The following is a 15971-nucleotide window of genomic DNA, read 5'->3' as shown; positions in this document are numbered from 1 at the left end:
TACCATTTATTTCCTTCTCTTGCCTGATTGCCCTGGCCAGAACTTCCAACACTATGTTGAATAGGAGTGGTGAGAGAGGGCATCCCTGTCTTGTGCCAGTTTTCAAAGGGAATGCTTCCAGTTTGTGCCCATTCAGTATGATATTGGCTGTGGGTTTGTCATAGATAGCTCTTATTATTTTGAGATATGCCCCATTGAGAGGTGACAGCGTGCTGTCAGTCCTCACAGCCCTCGCTTGCTCTCGGCGCCTCCTCTGCCTGGGCTCCCACTTTGGCGGCACTTGAGGAGCCCTTCAGCCCACCGCTGCACTGTGGGAGCCCCTTTCTGGGCTGGCCAAGGCCAGAGCCAGCTCCCTCAGCTTGAAGGGAGGTGTGGAGGGAGAGGCCTGAGCGGGAACCAGGGCTGTGCGCGGTGCTTGTGGGCCAGCTGGAGTTCCGGGTGGGCGTGGGCATGGCGGGCCCCAAACTCAGAGCAGCCGGCTGGCTCTGCCGCCCGGGGGAATGAGGGGCTTAGCACCCGGGCCAGCGGCTGCGGAGGGTGTACTGGGTCCCCCAGAACTGCCAGCCCACCAGCGCCGTGCTCGATTTCTCACCGGGCCTTAGCTGCCTTCCCGTGGGGCAGGGCTCGGGACCTGCAGCCCGCCATGCCTGAGCCTCCCACCCCCTCCGTGGGCTCCAGTGCGGCCGGAGCCTCCCCGACGAGCGCCATCCCCTGCTCCAGGGCGCCCAGTCCCATCGACCACCCAAGGGCTGAGGAGTGCGGGCGCACGGCACCAGGACTGGCAGGCAGCTCCACCTGCTGCCCTGGTGGGGGATCCACTGGGTGAAGCCAGCTGGGCTCCTGAGTCTGGTGGGGACGTGGAGGACCTTTATGTCTAGCTCAGGGTTTGTGAATGCACCAGTGGACACTCTGTATCTAGCTAATCTGGTGGGGACATGGAGAACCTTTGTGTCTAGCTCAGGTATTGTAAACGCACCAACCAGCGCCCTGTCAAAACAGACCACTGGGCTCTACCAATCAGCAGGATGTGGGTGGGGCCAGATAAGAGAATAAAAGCAGGCTTCCTGAGCCAGCGGTGGCAACTTACTGGGGTCCCCTTCCACACTGTGGAAGCTTTGTTCTTTCGCTCTTTGCAATAAATCTTGCTACTGTTCACTCTTTGGGTCCACACTGCTTTTATGAGCTGTAACACTCACCGTGAAAGTCTGCAGCTTCACTCCTGAAGCCAGCGAGACCACGAGCCCATGGGGAGGAACGAACAACTCCAGACGTGCTGCCTTAAGAGCTGTAACACTCACCGTCGAAGGTCTGCAGCTTCACTCCTGAGCCAGAGAGACCATGAACCCACCAGAAGGAAGAAACTCCTAACACATCCGAACATCAGAAGGAACAAACTCCAGATGCGCCACCTTAAGAGCTGTAACACTCACCACGAGGGTCCCTGGCTTCATTCTTGAAGTCAGTGAGACCAAGAACCCACCAATTCCGGTCACACCATCAATACCTAATTTATTGAGAGTTTTTAGCATGAAGCATTGTTGAATTTTGTCAAAGGCCTTTTCTACATCTATTGAGATAATCATATGGTTTTTGTCATTGGTTCTGTTTATATGCTGGATTACATTTATTGATTTGCGTATGTTGAACCAGCCTTGCATCCCAGGGATGAAGCCCACTTGATCATGGTGGATAAGCTTTTTGATGTGCTGCTGGATTCGGTTTGCCAGTATTTTATTGAGGATTTTCGCATCAATGTTCGCCAGGGATATTGGTCTAAAATTCTATTTTTTTGTTGTGTCTCTGCCAGGCTTTGGTATCAGGATGATGCTGGCCTCATAAAATGAGTTAGGGAGGATTCCCTCTTTTTCTATTGATTGGAATAGTTTCAGAAGGAATGGTACCAGCTCCTCCTTGTACCTCTGGTAGAATTCGGCTGTGAATCCATCTGGTCCTGGGCTTTTTTTGGTTGGTAAGCTATTAATTATTGCCTCAATTTCAGAACTTGTTATTGGTCTATTCAGGGATTCAACTTCTTCCTGGTTTAGTCTTGGGAGGGTGTATGTGTTGAGGAATTCATCCATTTCTTCTAGATTTTCTAGTTTATTTGTGTAGAGGTGTTTATAGTATTCTCTGATGGTAGTTTGTATTTCTGTGGGATTGGTGCTGATATCCCCTTTATGATTTTTTATTGGGTCTATTTGATTCTTCTCTCTTTTCTTCTTTATTGGTCTTGCTAGCGGTCCATCAGTTTTGTTGATCTTTTCAAAAAACCAGCTCCTGGATTCATTGATTTTTTGAAGGATTTTTTTTGTGTCTGTATTTCCTTCAGTTCTGCTCTGATCTTAGTTATTTCTTGCCTTCTGCTAGCTTTTGAATGTGTTTGCTCTTGCTTCTCTAGCTCTTTTAATTGTGGTGTTAGAGTGTCAATTTTAGATCTTTCCTGCTTTCTCTTGTGGTTATTCAGTGCTATAAATTTCCCTCTACACACAGCTTTGAATGTGTCCCAGAGATTCTGGTATGTTGTGTCTTTGTTCTTGTTGGTTTCAAAGAACATCTTTATTTCTGCCTTCATTTCGTTATGTACCCAGTAGTCATTCAGGAGCAGGTTGTACAGTTTCCATGTAGTTGAGCGGTTTTGAGTGAGTTTCTTAGTCCTGAGTTCTAGTTTGATTGCACTGTGGTCTGAGAGAGAGTTTGTTATAATTTCTGTTCTTTTGCATTTGCTGAGGAGTCCTTTACTTCCAACTATGTGGTCAATTTTGGAATAAGTGTGGTGTGGTGCTGAGAAGAATGTATATTCTGTTGATTTGGGGTGGAGAGGTCTGTAGATGTCTATTAGCTCTGCTTGGTGCAGAGCTGAGTTCAATTCCTGGATATCCTTGTTAACTTTCTGTCTCGTTGATCTGTCTAATGTGGACAGTGGGGTGTTAAAGTCTCCCATTATTATTGTGTGGGAGTCTAAGTTTCTTTGTAGGTCTCTAAGGACTTGCTTTATGAATCTGGGTGATCCTGTATTGGGCGCATATATATTTAGGATAGTCAGCTCTTCTTGTTGAATTGATCCCTTTACCATTATGTAATGGCCTTCTTTGTCTCTTTTGATCTTTGTTGGTTTAAAGTCTGTTTTATCAGAGACTGGGATTGCAACCCCTGCCTTTTTTTGTTTTCCATTTGCTTGGTAGATCTTCCTCCATCCCTTTATTTTGAGCCTATGTGTGTCTCTGCATGTGAGATGGGTTTCCTGAATACAGCACACTGATGGGTCTTGACTCTTTATCCAGTTTGCCACTCTGTGTCTTTTAATTGGAGCATTTAGCCCATTTACATTTAAGGTTAAGATTATTATGTGTTAGCTTCCTTCAGGAGCTCTTGTAAGGCAGGCCTGGTGGTGACAAAATCTCTCAGCATTTGCTTGTCTGTAAAGGATTTTATTTCTCCTTCACTTATGAAGCTTTAGTTTGGCTGGATATGAAATTCTGGGTTGAAATTTCTTTTCTTTAAGAATGTTGAATATTGGTCCCCACTCTCTTCTGGCTTGTAGAGTTCCTGCCAAGAGACCAGCTGTTAGTCTGATGGGCTTCCCTTTGTGGGTAACCCGACCTTTCTCTCTGGCTGCCCTTAACATTTTTTCCTTCATTTCAACTTTGGTGAATCTGACAATTATGTGTCTTGGAGTTGCTCTTCTCGAGGAGTATCTTTGTGGCGTTCTCTGTATTTCCTGAATTTGAATGTTGGCCTGACTTGCTAGGTTGGGGAAGTTCTCCTGGATAATATCCTGAAGAGTGTTTTCCAACTTGGTTCCATTCTCCCCGTCTTTTCACATAGTCCCATATTTCTTGGAGGCTTTGTTCGTTCTTTTTATTCTTTTTTCTCTAAACTTCTCTTCTCACTTCATTTCATTCATTTGATCTTCCATCACTGATACCCTTTCTTCCAGTTGATCAAATTGGCTACTGAGGCTTGTGCATTCATCATGTAGTTCTCGTGCCTTGGTTTTCAGCTCCATCAGGTCCTTTAAGGACTTCTCTGAATTGGTTATTCTAGTCAGCCATTCGTCTGATTTTTTTTCAAGGTTTTTAACTTCTTTGCCATGGGTTTGAACTTCCTCCTTTAGCTCGGAGTAGTTTGATCATGTGAAGCCTTCTTCTCTCAACTCGTCAAAGTCATTCTCCATCCAGCTTTGTTCCATTGCTGGTGAGGAGCTGTGTTCCTTTGGAGGAGGAAAGGCGCTCTGGTTTTTAGAGTTTCCAGTTTTTCTGCTCTGTTTTTACCCCATCTTTGTGGTTTTATCTACCTTTGGTCTTTGATGATGGTGATGTACAGATGTGGTTTTGGTGTGGATGTCCTTTCTGCTTGTTAGTTTTCCTTCTAACAGTCAGGACCCTCAGCTGCAGGTCTGTTGGAGTTTGCTGGAGGTCCACTCCAGACCCTGTTTGCCTGGGTATCAGCAGCAGAGGCTGCAGAACAGTGGATATTGGTGAACAGCAAATGTTGCTGCCTGATCGTTCCTCTGGAAGTTTTGTCTCAGAGGAGTACCTGGCTGTGTGAGGTGTCAGTCTGCCCCTACTGGGGGGTGCCTCCCAGTTAGGCTACTCAGGGGTCAGGGACCCACTTGAGGAGGCAGTCTGTCCATTCTCAGATCTCCAGCTCTGTGCTGGGAGAACCACTGCTCTCTTCAAAGCTGTCAGACAGGGACATTTTAGTCTGCAGAAGATTCTGCTCCTTTTGTTTGGCTGTGCCCTGCCCCCAGAGGTGGAGTCTACTGAGGCAGGCAGGCCTCCTTGAGCTGTGGTGGGTTCCACCCAGTTTGAGCTTCCTGGAAGCTTTGTTTACCTATTCAAGCCTGGACAATGGTGGGCGCCCATCCCCCAGCCTTGCTGCCGCCTTGCAGTTTGATCTCAGACTGCTGTGCTAGCAATGAGCAAGGCTCCGTGGGCATAGGACCCTCGGAGCCATGTGCAGGATATAATCTCCTGGTGTGCCATTTGCTAAGACCGTTGGAAAAGTGCAGCATTAAGGTGGGAGTGACCTGATTTTCCAGGTGCCATCTGTCACCCCTTTCTTTGACTAGGAAAGGGAATTCCCTGACCCCTTGCACTTCCCAGGTGAAGCGATGCCTCACCCTGCTTTGGCTCATGCGCGGTGCACTGCACCCACTGACCTGCACCCACTTTCCGATACTCCCCAGTGAGATGAACTCTGTACCTCAGTTGTAAATGCAGAAATCACCTGTCTTCTGTGTTGCTCACGCTGGGAGCTGTAGACTGGAGCCGTTCCTATTCAGCCATCTTGGCTCCACCCCCGAGATCTAACTCTTATTATGGAGTGGGGAGCAGTCATTCAGTCAATAGAAGGCATTTTTTTTTTTTTTGGCAAGGAAGGATAATCCTCTTAGGCACAATGTAGCTGCCTGTCTGAAAGGTATTTGGGGCTCCAGAGTTCTCAGTATCTGCCCAAATATCCTTATGCCGTGTCTCAAGGTCCCACTGCTTCCATACCAGTGCTTTTCCCTTACTGAAAGAGATGTGATGTGGTTGCAGATTTCATTGGCATTGAACTCACCATCCGTTACAATTAGGTCCTTGGCTTGGTGCTCAGTCATATCTGCCCTGCATCTATAGAGGATGAGGGACTTGTCCAAAACTGTCATCAAGGCATTCCAGTTTTCTATGGATATTCTCAGCTGGATAGTTTTTCTTTCAATCTCAATTTTTTCGTTGTCTAAACTTCCTAGAGCTATCGAAAATGCCAATTTACAATCTTTATAATGACTATTGTTGCCATGGAAACTAAATCCCTTTCGAAACTAAATTCATAAACTGGAATTCCCAGTACCTTGTCCTCTACCTTCACTTCATCTTATGCCACCACTAGTGATAGTGTGATCTGATGTGTGTGTGTGTGTGTGTGTGTGTAAAACTAACAGCCTGAAGGATACCCACAAAAGCCATGATAGTTACTGCCTCTGGAGGAAGGGGAGATAAATTGGATGTGAAACAGAAGAAAGAAGAACACAAATTTAATTGCAATATTGCATTTCTTTTATTTAAAAAAAAAGCTTGAAGCAAATATAAAAATGTTAACACTTACATTTTTGTATATATAGACACTTTTTGTATTTTCTACATTTTTCATATGTAAACCCTCCCCACTCTCCACACATCATTATTCATTATGATCATGAGGGGTTTATCCCAGGATATTCATTGATAGAAAATTAAAAGAGTAATTTATAAAATCACTACATGAACAAGTAAAAACACACACAGCAAAATTTACATCAAAATTATTACGTGGTACAGAATCCAAAAGTCATAAAAAGCAAAAGCTATCTTTTTTTCACTCTGGCACCCATCTGTTCTTCCCTGGAGTCAAACACTATTACCAATTTTTAGGTATACTTCCAAAGATACTTACTGCATTTACAAGCACAGACTTATATTGATTCTAAAAGAATAAGAGACATTTTCAGCATGTTGTTTTGTTCAACACCACAGTATATCTTAAAGATGGTCCCCCATCAATACATATAGAGATCTCTCTTTTTTATGGCTTCATAGTATTATCATGTGCTGATATGCCAAAAACTAATCCATTAGACCCTTTTGGGTATATATTTACTATTTTGCAGTCTTCTGCTCTTAGGAATAAAGTGAAATTCAATCACCTGTATAGAAGTATTTCACACGTTTGAATATATATGTAGAATAAATTCCCAAAAGAGAAATTTCTAGAGAAAGAGATATATGCATTCACAATTTTGTTAACTACTGCCGGATTGTTCTCAGTAGAAGATGTACCAATTTACAGCAATGCATGGAAGTGCTTTCCCCCTTAAAGTTTGTTACCAATCTGAGTAATTTTGTCAATTGATACTTCTGCTATCATGAGTAATGTTTCCATATCTTTAGGAGCTATTTTAAATTCTTTTTCTGTATTCTACCACCTGTCAAATCCTTTGCTCATTTTTCCTTTGAGACCTTAGAATTTTTCTCTTCGATTTGTAGAAGCTATTTTTTGAAAATAAGAAATTAACTATTTGGCTGTGATATTCATTGCAATTCTTTTTCCAGTGTGTTGTTTCTTGACCTTTTATGCTGTTTTTGGTACAGAGATAATTTTGTTTAAAATAGTCAATATTTTCCTTCCTGGTTTCTGATTGAGGGCCATACTTAGACCTTCCCCATGCTGAGATTATTATTTTTTTAAGTGCTACTTCTTCTTCATGCACTTCCATGATTCCATATTTTTACTTTTAAAAACTTGGTCCTCCTGGAATTTATTTTGGTATCTAGTCTGGCATATGGCCCAAGCTTAATTTTTTTTAGCTGGGTGACAGAGTTGTTCATCATATATTGAATAATCCATCTTTCCCCAATTAACTTGAATTTAACATATAAAGTTAACATAACTTAACTTTAACATATGCTGTTAATACATTTCAACATGTATTTTAAATTTATTTTTGGCCATTTCATCTTGTTCCATTGACCCTCCACATATCAGCACCACATTGTTTTAATTATTGTAGCTTTATAAGATGTTTTAATATTTGGTCATGCTGACTCACTCAGGTTTCTTCTTTTCTAGATTTTTCTTGGATATTCTTGCCTCGTAGTTTCCAATAATTTTTTTTTTTTTGAGACAGGGTCTCACTCTGGCTGCCCAGACTGGAGTGCAGTGATGTGATTTTGGCTCACTACAGCCTCGACCTCCCAAGGCTTGGGTGATTCTCCCACCTCAGCCTCCCGAGTAGCTAGGACTATAGGTGCACACCACCACACCCAGCTAATTTCTTGCATTTTAAATAGAGACGGGATTTCACCATGTTGTCCAGGCTGGTCTGGAACTCCTGGACTCAGGCAATCCACCTGCCTCGGCCTCTCAAAGTGCTGGGATTACAGGAGTGAGCCACCATGCTTGGCCTTCATTAAATTTTAAAATCATTTCAATGCTATTGGGGAAAACCTGTTGGCATTTTTATTGGGATTACACTGAATTTATAGATTAACAGTGAAAATTGATATATTTATAATTTTTAATCTTCTTATCCAAAAACGTGGTCTGCTTTTTATCTGTTTAAGTTCTTTTTTGTGCTCTTTAGTTTCATTGTATAGTTTTATTGTTGCAGAACTTATATTTTCTTGTTGCAGTTATTCTTAATTATTTTATCTTTTTGTTGGAATTATAATATGGCTTTTTCTTTCATCGTATTTTCTAACTACATGTAGTCTGACATAATAGGCAATTAGAAAATAATATGTATAGACTTAACCTTATGTTTCACTAATTTATTTGTTCTCCTTTCCTTCTTAAAACCACTACTTTCTTCTCAATTCATTTTTTCTTGTTATAGTACGTTATTCATATACTCTTGCTAATAGCCCATCCCTATATGAATAGTTTTTCTGACTTGGAACAAGTAGGAAGTTTTTTAAAAATCACTTATAGTCCATCCCTGTATGAAGATGAATACTATAAGTACATTATTCCTACTTGTTCCAAGTCAGAAAATCTATTTATTTTGCCCTCGACTCTGAATGATAGTTTGGGGAGAGAAGTCTAGGTTTGATGTTGTTTTTCCACAGCAGTTTGAATATGCTACCTGTATTCTGCTTACGTCTACCCTTGCTAGTGAAATAGTTATTGTCAAATTCACACTTCTTTTTGTAGATTTTCCAAACTTTTTCTTTTAGGATTAAAAAAGAATCTTTGATGTTCTGAATCTTGATTGTAATGTGTTATGCTTGACCTATATATTCTGCCACTATTCTGGAAACTCTTTTAGTCAAAAGAGGTATGGTGGTGGTGATTTTACCCCCCAAGGGACATTTGGCGATGTCTGGAGACATTTTTGGTTGTCACAACTGACAACCAACCCTGGGGTAGGGGAGGGAGGGTGGTGGATTTGCTACTGGCGTCTAGGGAGTAGGGCCAAGGATGCTGCTAAACATCCTACAGTGCATAGAGAAGCCTCTCACAATAAATGGTTGTCCAGCCCAAAAAGCCAGCAGTGCCAATGCTGACAAACCCTGAGGTATGGGTTTTTTAGTTCTAGGCTTTGGTCTGGCCAACTGGGGGCAAAATGAATTTGGCTTCAGCCTCAGGGCAACACTTTCTGGCTGGGAGATTCTGTCCTGGCTTTGTGACAACGGTTGTCCTGGCCTGTGGTGGTGCCAGCCTCAGTGTATTACCGTGGTTTACCTAGATTTTCCCTACCTGTACCAATGACTCATAGGTTTTAGTTCATGGAGAGGCGCTTTTCTTGGTTGTGAGGATGGCTATGCATATGGCAATGTTTTGAAATATCTTCCCCATTATTTCTATGAGTTTGTTTTAGTAGAGGGCGATTTCAGCATGTGACCTTCAAGGTCTTTATGCAAAGGGGCAAAGTCAATAAAATTAATTCTAGCAATACTGAAAGAGAAAAGGAAGCAATAAATCACTCATAAACTCATCAACTAGAAATATTCAAGGTTAATAATATTCCAGAAAGCTTTTAAAAATATATCAGAGAAAATATAAGAACAGCTAGATAGAATTATGTTAAATCGAAGGATATGATACATAATATTTTAAAATTATTTTTATGTTTATTTCACTTGAACAAAAGAAAAAGCAACTAATAAAATTGAAGGAAGAGCTGAACTACCGAATATTTTTCTTTAACTCAAGAACTTTCAGTTACAGGAAGATTTATCTAATATTAAAATGACTAAATTACAAAAAGCATAAAATGTTTGAAGCCATTTTTAAAGTTGTTTTGAAATCCATATTAGCACTCAGACTTCCCCACTCCCTAACTTTTGTTAATTGCTGTAATGGACATTTGTTGTTTTGATCTACCCAACATCCTTTCATCCTACTTTGGTAACTGATATTCTTTGGGGGAACTGATCTTTCCACTTTACATCATGTTTTGTGGAAATTTTTCAACTAAGGAACCTGCCCTATGCTAGCTAAGAGTTGAGTACGGTATGCAAACTAAATAAGTGCAACTCTCTCACTGTAATTTAACCTCCTTAAATCAAGTAAAGAAAATGACTGTGGCCAAGTCACCCCTGCTACCTAGGTCCTTGTAACTGCCCAGGCACCTCTCCCTTCTAAGGCCTATTTGGTCAGCTTGTCATTTTATTCTATCAGGTCCTCCCTAATGATTCCAATAAATTATTTTTGTTTGTTTTTTTAAAATGATCCAAACCCTGGTTTTATGGATTGAAACAGAAGAATCTATCTGATATAAAAATATTTTTACTTTGTGAAGGTTTGTAACATTCTTTTCTGTAATTATAATTCCTATATATCTTAATTATATACATGTGAATGGATTTAAACTTAACTTTGGTCCAATTATAATAATCTTTTATTTGTACATGTTGCTTGCTTAGCTAGATTTCCTTACTGAGTAACTTTTCTTCAAGAATGATTCATGGGTCCTGTATTTCTAGAACTCTTTTATGTTCAAAAATACCCATGTGCTGCCTTTGTACTAGAATAATATTTTGACTAGGTTTAATATTTTTAGGTCAAAATTTGTTTCCCTAAGAACTGTACACATGTTGCTTCACTGCCTTCTTAGATGCTTCTGGTCAAGATAGAGGAACAGGGACCATATTTATCCTCCCTCCTGAAACAATTGCAAAATAAGACAAAATATATGAAACAATTGCAAAATAAGGCAAAATATATGAAACAACAGGTCTCGAGATATTGGAAATCAGTCAATGAAGGATACTGATCCCTGATCACTGTCCTAATGCAGGATGTGGGAAACAGATGAGGTCACCTCTGTGACTGCCCCAGCTTACTGCCTGTAGAGAGTTTCTAGGCTGCAGTTCAGAGAGGGAGAAATTGGGTACAGTGGGACAGGCCTTCAACTCTTGTTTTATTGAATTTATGAACTTCTTAAATTCTTCTATGGCAGGAGACATCTATGGGGAGGCTTTGTTTGTTTTTTGAGACAGGGTCTCACTTTGTCGCCCAGGCTGAAGTACAATGGCCTGATCTTGGCTCACTGTAACCTCTGCCTCCTTGATTCAAGCAATTCTCTTGCCTCAGCCTTCTGAGTAGCTGGTATTACAGGCATGCACCACCACACCCAGCTAATTTTTGTATTTTTAGTAGAGACAGGATTTCACCACGTTGGCCAGGCTGGACTTGAACTCCTGACCTCAGGTGATCCACCTGCCTTGGCCTACCAAAATGCTGAGATTACAGGCGTGATCCACTGCGCCCAACTTATGGTGAGTTGTCTTTTGTCCCCTGAGTTATATATCCTTTCAGGATGGGTTCTTCATCTGGCTCATGTCATATTTCTTTTCTACATTTTTCCCCATTGTCTTTCGCCTAATGATCAGAACACTTATCTTTCTAATGCTTAATCAGGGCAGCTGGGTAGAGTCTTTCTTTTTACCTTAAGATAGTATAGAAGGGCTCTCTTTGACAACTTTCTTAGATGAAGTAGACTAGTTTGGCTTCTTCTCCAGTGTATAGCTGGAGGCCTGGGTGGTGTCTTCCATCTACTTTTGTGTAGCCTGATATGATCTGGTGTGAGATGAGGCCCTCGCTGTTAACCTGGTTTCTACTCTTTATTGTTGCCTAGGAACTTCCATTAAATCCACTGAATTCCATGAAGGAGGCAAAGCATCCAGGAATAAGACACAGCCCCCTTCATTGAATTCATGTGAAATCCTGGAAAATCCCTCCTGTGTCCACGGAGAGTCCCTGGGGACAATCAGGAGTTTCTGTGCTCAAGGGTCTCCCTGGCATTTCCCTGAGCTGCCTGCTCAATACCTCCGCCACCACCCTTCAAACTGGCCATATTAACAAGAATTCTGGTTTTCTTTTCTTTATGTGACATCTATTCATGACTACACTGGGCAGATGAGATAGTAGCTATGCCTTTATATAAAACTTTTAAATTCTTTTTTTTTGTTTTATTTATTTAATTTTTGGAGACAGGGTCTTGTTCTGTCACCCAGACTGGAGTGCACTGGTATGATCATAGCTCACTGTAACCTCAGACTTCTGAGGTCAAGTGATCGTCCTGCCTCAGCCTTCTGAGTAGCTAGGACTCCAGGTGTGCATCACCATTCCCAGCTAATTTTATTTATTTATTTATTTGTTTGTTTGTTTGTTTGTTTTTGTAGAGACAGGGTCTCACTATATTGCTCAAGCTGGTCTTGAACTCCTGGGCTCAAACAATCCTCCCACCTTGGCCTCCTAAAGTCCTGGGATCACAAGCATGAGCCACCATGCCCAACCTTTTCTAGTTTTTAAATTTTCATACATATCTATTAGATGTTTATAGTGTAAGGTTGAACTCCATTCTTTGCTTCTCTGTTGCTGGTAAATTTTTGGGTATATTTTTACTAATTTTGCACATTCTTTTACATATTGGTAAAGGAACAGTCTGTGATCTGGATTTATTCAGATCCTTATTCAGAATTACCAATTGTTTTATTAATCATTTTATCTTAAATGTGTCTCTACTTACTAGTGATTTGCAGTATATTCCAAGTTAGTTGTAAAAACATTTCACAATAGACTAATTTCTTGCTTTCCTGTGAAATTGTCTCAAATTTAAAAAGTAAAGTTCTTAATATTGTAAGTAGCTGCCAGAAATAAACCAATTCTAGCTTCAAGTTCATACTTCTTACAATGAGAATTTTAAATTTCTTTATTCTTGGGAAATAGCAGGGCCTTGCTGTTTTTAATAGTGAATTAACTCTGAATTTTTTAGTTTCTGTCTCTCAGAAAAGATGGATTTGTTTGGCTTTAAATATTGAGAGAGTTTCTAGAGACCCACAGGAAATGAGAAATTTGCACTTTTGTAGCAATGGCTTTTGAAAGACTAGCTAACATCCTGAAGACTCAGCAGAAGAAAGATATTAAACTGACTTTGTCGTTTTGTTGATTATTAAATTAAATGGAAAAACAAAATGTAACCTTTGAGTCCAATAGACTCATCCCCCTAGGCTCTCTATCATCTTCAAATCAATCAGTAAAACACAGTGTGCCTCCCTGGGGGACTGTGGCAGTCTTACCTTCATGTAGTAACCTAAGACGCTCCATAAGAATAAAAAATCAGAGCTAAGGAACAGATTCCACATAACCAAAAGGCTCACAAAAAGCATTTTAAAATATAGTGATCAAAAACACTAATGTCGTTAAAAGAAAAAGCAGAAAATAATAAAGTAATATAATGTGGTCTTGCAAAAAACAGTCTGTGATCTTACATTTCAAAACATGTCTTGCCCGTTCCCGGCACCTACAAGGCCAGATGAGCTACCTGCTCCATCCTTCACATTCTCGCTGCACGTCCCATTCAAGCTCTTCTGCAAGTGGCCATGTTAAAAATTTATAAAAATATCCGAGTCTGCCTGGCACGCTCAGAGATTCTCATGACAAGTTCTTCCCTCACTGAGCACTTCCCTGACCACCCAAAATAATCACCCCCTCCATCTACCTACACACATGTGCACGTGCGCGCGCGCACACACACACACACACACACACACACACACACACATCTCTGAGTCTCACGGTCCTCTAATTACTGATATCCCTTTTTACCATGGGAAATTCCTTGTCTATCTGTGTATTTGTCAGTGGTCTGTCTCTGCCCTAAAGGAGGAATCTTACATCGATTCGTTCTCAATCCCCAGCACCTAGAAAAGTATGTGACTTAATAAGTGAGTGTGTGCTTACATGTTTGGATTAAATGGTTTCACAGTTAATTAGAGATGAGAACCACTTAATTGTTTCTTAGGCTTGGGTTTCCTGTCACACAGAAGCCTTCAGAATATACAGATGTCTTTTTGCCCTAGAAGCCAAACAGAGCAGAAGATTGTAGGCCCCAGCCGGTGGGGCTACTCCTGGATTGATTCCAAACACGATATTTCTTTCCAGGCCTGAAAATCGACAGACACTGTCCAACACAATGTGATCGGTTAGAACATCCGACGCATCACCGATCTGTAGTAACAGATCAGACTCCTCATGGAGCTGAGACAGTTTTCTCTTCCTCATTGCTGTTAGAAGCCTGTCTTTATATTTTTCCACTTCACTTGCTTTGGTGAAAAGCACAGCAATATCCTTCGGAGAATAACCATTCCGCAAGAGAAAACGGCATTTATTCGCTACATAGATCAGTATCTCCTCCAAGTTCAAGTCTTCAATAATCTCTAAGTTGCCTGGGACACCTTGAGCCCATTTAGGTTCATAGAGCATCACCAGGGACCCAGGGGGGAGGTTAGGTGGAGGATTTTGTCGGGCTTCCTGCATTACTTGTTGTAGGTAATTAGCTATTGGACCTGCATTGCGGACCACTCTGTTGATCTCTTCTCTTGGATACTGGTCTGAGGGAGGGGGGAGGCCACTGCAACTCAAGTGATAGGTCTGAAAGTAGTCCAGAAAGATCCAGAGAACTCCTGGGCCATCCCTTGCTGTCTGAGTGATGAACTTTGCTTTCCCATACCAGTCCCCATCTTCAGTACGGAAATTCTGAGCGTCATCAATGATAATGTGCTGGATGTGTTCAAAGTTGTTTTTCATGAAGGTTTTCCGGGTCACTGGCTGGCAGATGTTTTTCTTGCTGAAACTGTAAGAAACAGAGTCAGGTTTTTCCCCAATGAAACAAAGAAAGCAGATTCTACTCTTAAACCCCTCTGGTCATGGTAAATACAATATGAATTTTAGCAAGTAAACTGAAAGCCACACCAGCCACAGTCACTCAAGAAAATAAAGTGAACACAGACAAGCAGCATACCTCACCAACTTCTTCAGGGGCTGGTTTTCACAGATGTAGAGAATGTTAGCCGGTTCACAGTGAAACACATTCCTGATCTTCTCCATGATCCTAAGAGCCAAGATAGTCTTCCCTGATCCAGGTAAGCCATGAACAAACAACTCTCTGGTCTTGCGAAGGTTCTTTGAAAGCAACTCATACTGTTTATTTGTCAGTAGGTTCAAAACCTCAGAGCCCAGCTCTTCACTTAAGAAGGATTTGAACCCAAGCAAGACTATCACGAGGGACTGTAACAGGGCTTCCATGTGCTGGGGGGTCATGAAGTTATAGGATTCAGGGTAAATTTGTAAATACGAACTGTAAACGCTCTGTGCTTTTCTATCAGAATTCAGCACACAGACCAAGGGGGTGATGCATAACCTCCCAGTGTAGCCGCCTTTGTTCACCAGCTTCTGCTTCAAAGAATAGGCAACTATCATAGAATAGCCCTTGCACCCCGCATCCCACTTGCTGAAGATGGTGTAGAGAATAGGGGTGTTGTTCTGGGAAATTAGAAGAGCATCACAGATGACTCCCTGCTTCTCTTGCAGACCTAAATCCACAGCCCAGCTTTGAGAAAAAATCAATATTCCTTGAGAGAAAGGGCGCATTTCTGTATTTATTAAGTCTCTGAGTCCTTTATGTTGTGAGAAGAGTTCCTTGTAGAGGCTTTCTGGAGTATATACCACTCTGTCTGAAAATACTAGACAGGGAAAGGATGGGAAGAAATTAGAAAAGCCTCAGACAAGCTAGTAATCATCATTATACGTAGAAGAATTAATCAACACTGGGACTCTACTATGTATCTACAATAGGTTATACATTAGTAATAAAAAGATAAACAATTCTTATTTTGATGGGGCGCTAATTAGCTGGTATAAACAGACAATAATAATTATGGTAAAAAGTGGTCAATACAACTAGAGAGAAGGACAGAAAGTATTATGTGAATACCAAGGAAAGGTACAATTTAGGAAAGAAGAAAATATGAAAGTCTTTATGAAGAAGGAAACACCTGAGCTGATTCTTTTTTTTCTTTTTTCTTTTTCTTTCTTCTTCTTTTTTTTTTTTTTTGAGATGGAGTCTTGCTCTGTCGCACCAGTGGTGCGATCTCGGCTCACTGCAACTTCTGTCTCCTGGGTTCAAGTGATTCTCCTGCCTCAGCCTCCCAAGTAGCTGGGAC

General features: G+C 41.3%; 1 protein-coding gene across 2 annotated transcripts in view; it reads right to left on the bottom strand.

The window, feature by feature from the left end:
* Positions 1-6018: 6018 nt before the first annotated feature.
* Positions 6019-15971, bottom strand: part of SLFN5 (schlafen family member 5) — a 30584-nt gene continuing 20631 nt past the window's right edge. The window contains exons 4-5 of one of the 2 annotated variants that reach the window (NM_144975.4): positions 14771-15491; positions 6019-14602 (exon numbers count right to left, since the gene is read on the bottom strand). In NM_144975.4, coding sequence (NP_659412.3) covers positions 13786-14602; positions 14771-15491 — 1538 coding nt within the window. In that variant the 3' untranslated portion in view covers positions 6019-13785. The remainder of the gene's footprint in view (positions 14603-14770; positions 15492-15971) is intronic. The other variant, NM_001330183.2, reaches the window with a different exon arrangement.

Source organism: Homo sapiens, chromosome 17 (genome assembly GCF_000001405.40).
Source record: "Homo sapiens chromosome 17, GRCh38.p14 Primary Assembly".
In the NCBI taxonomy this organism is placed as follows: domain Eukaryota; kingdom Metazoa; phylum Chordata; class Mammalia; order Primates; family Hominidae; genus Homo; species Homo sapiens.
This window is presented reverse-complemented; position numbering and strand designations above follow the sequence as displayed.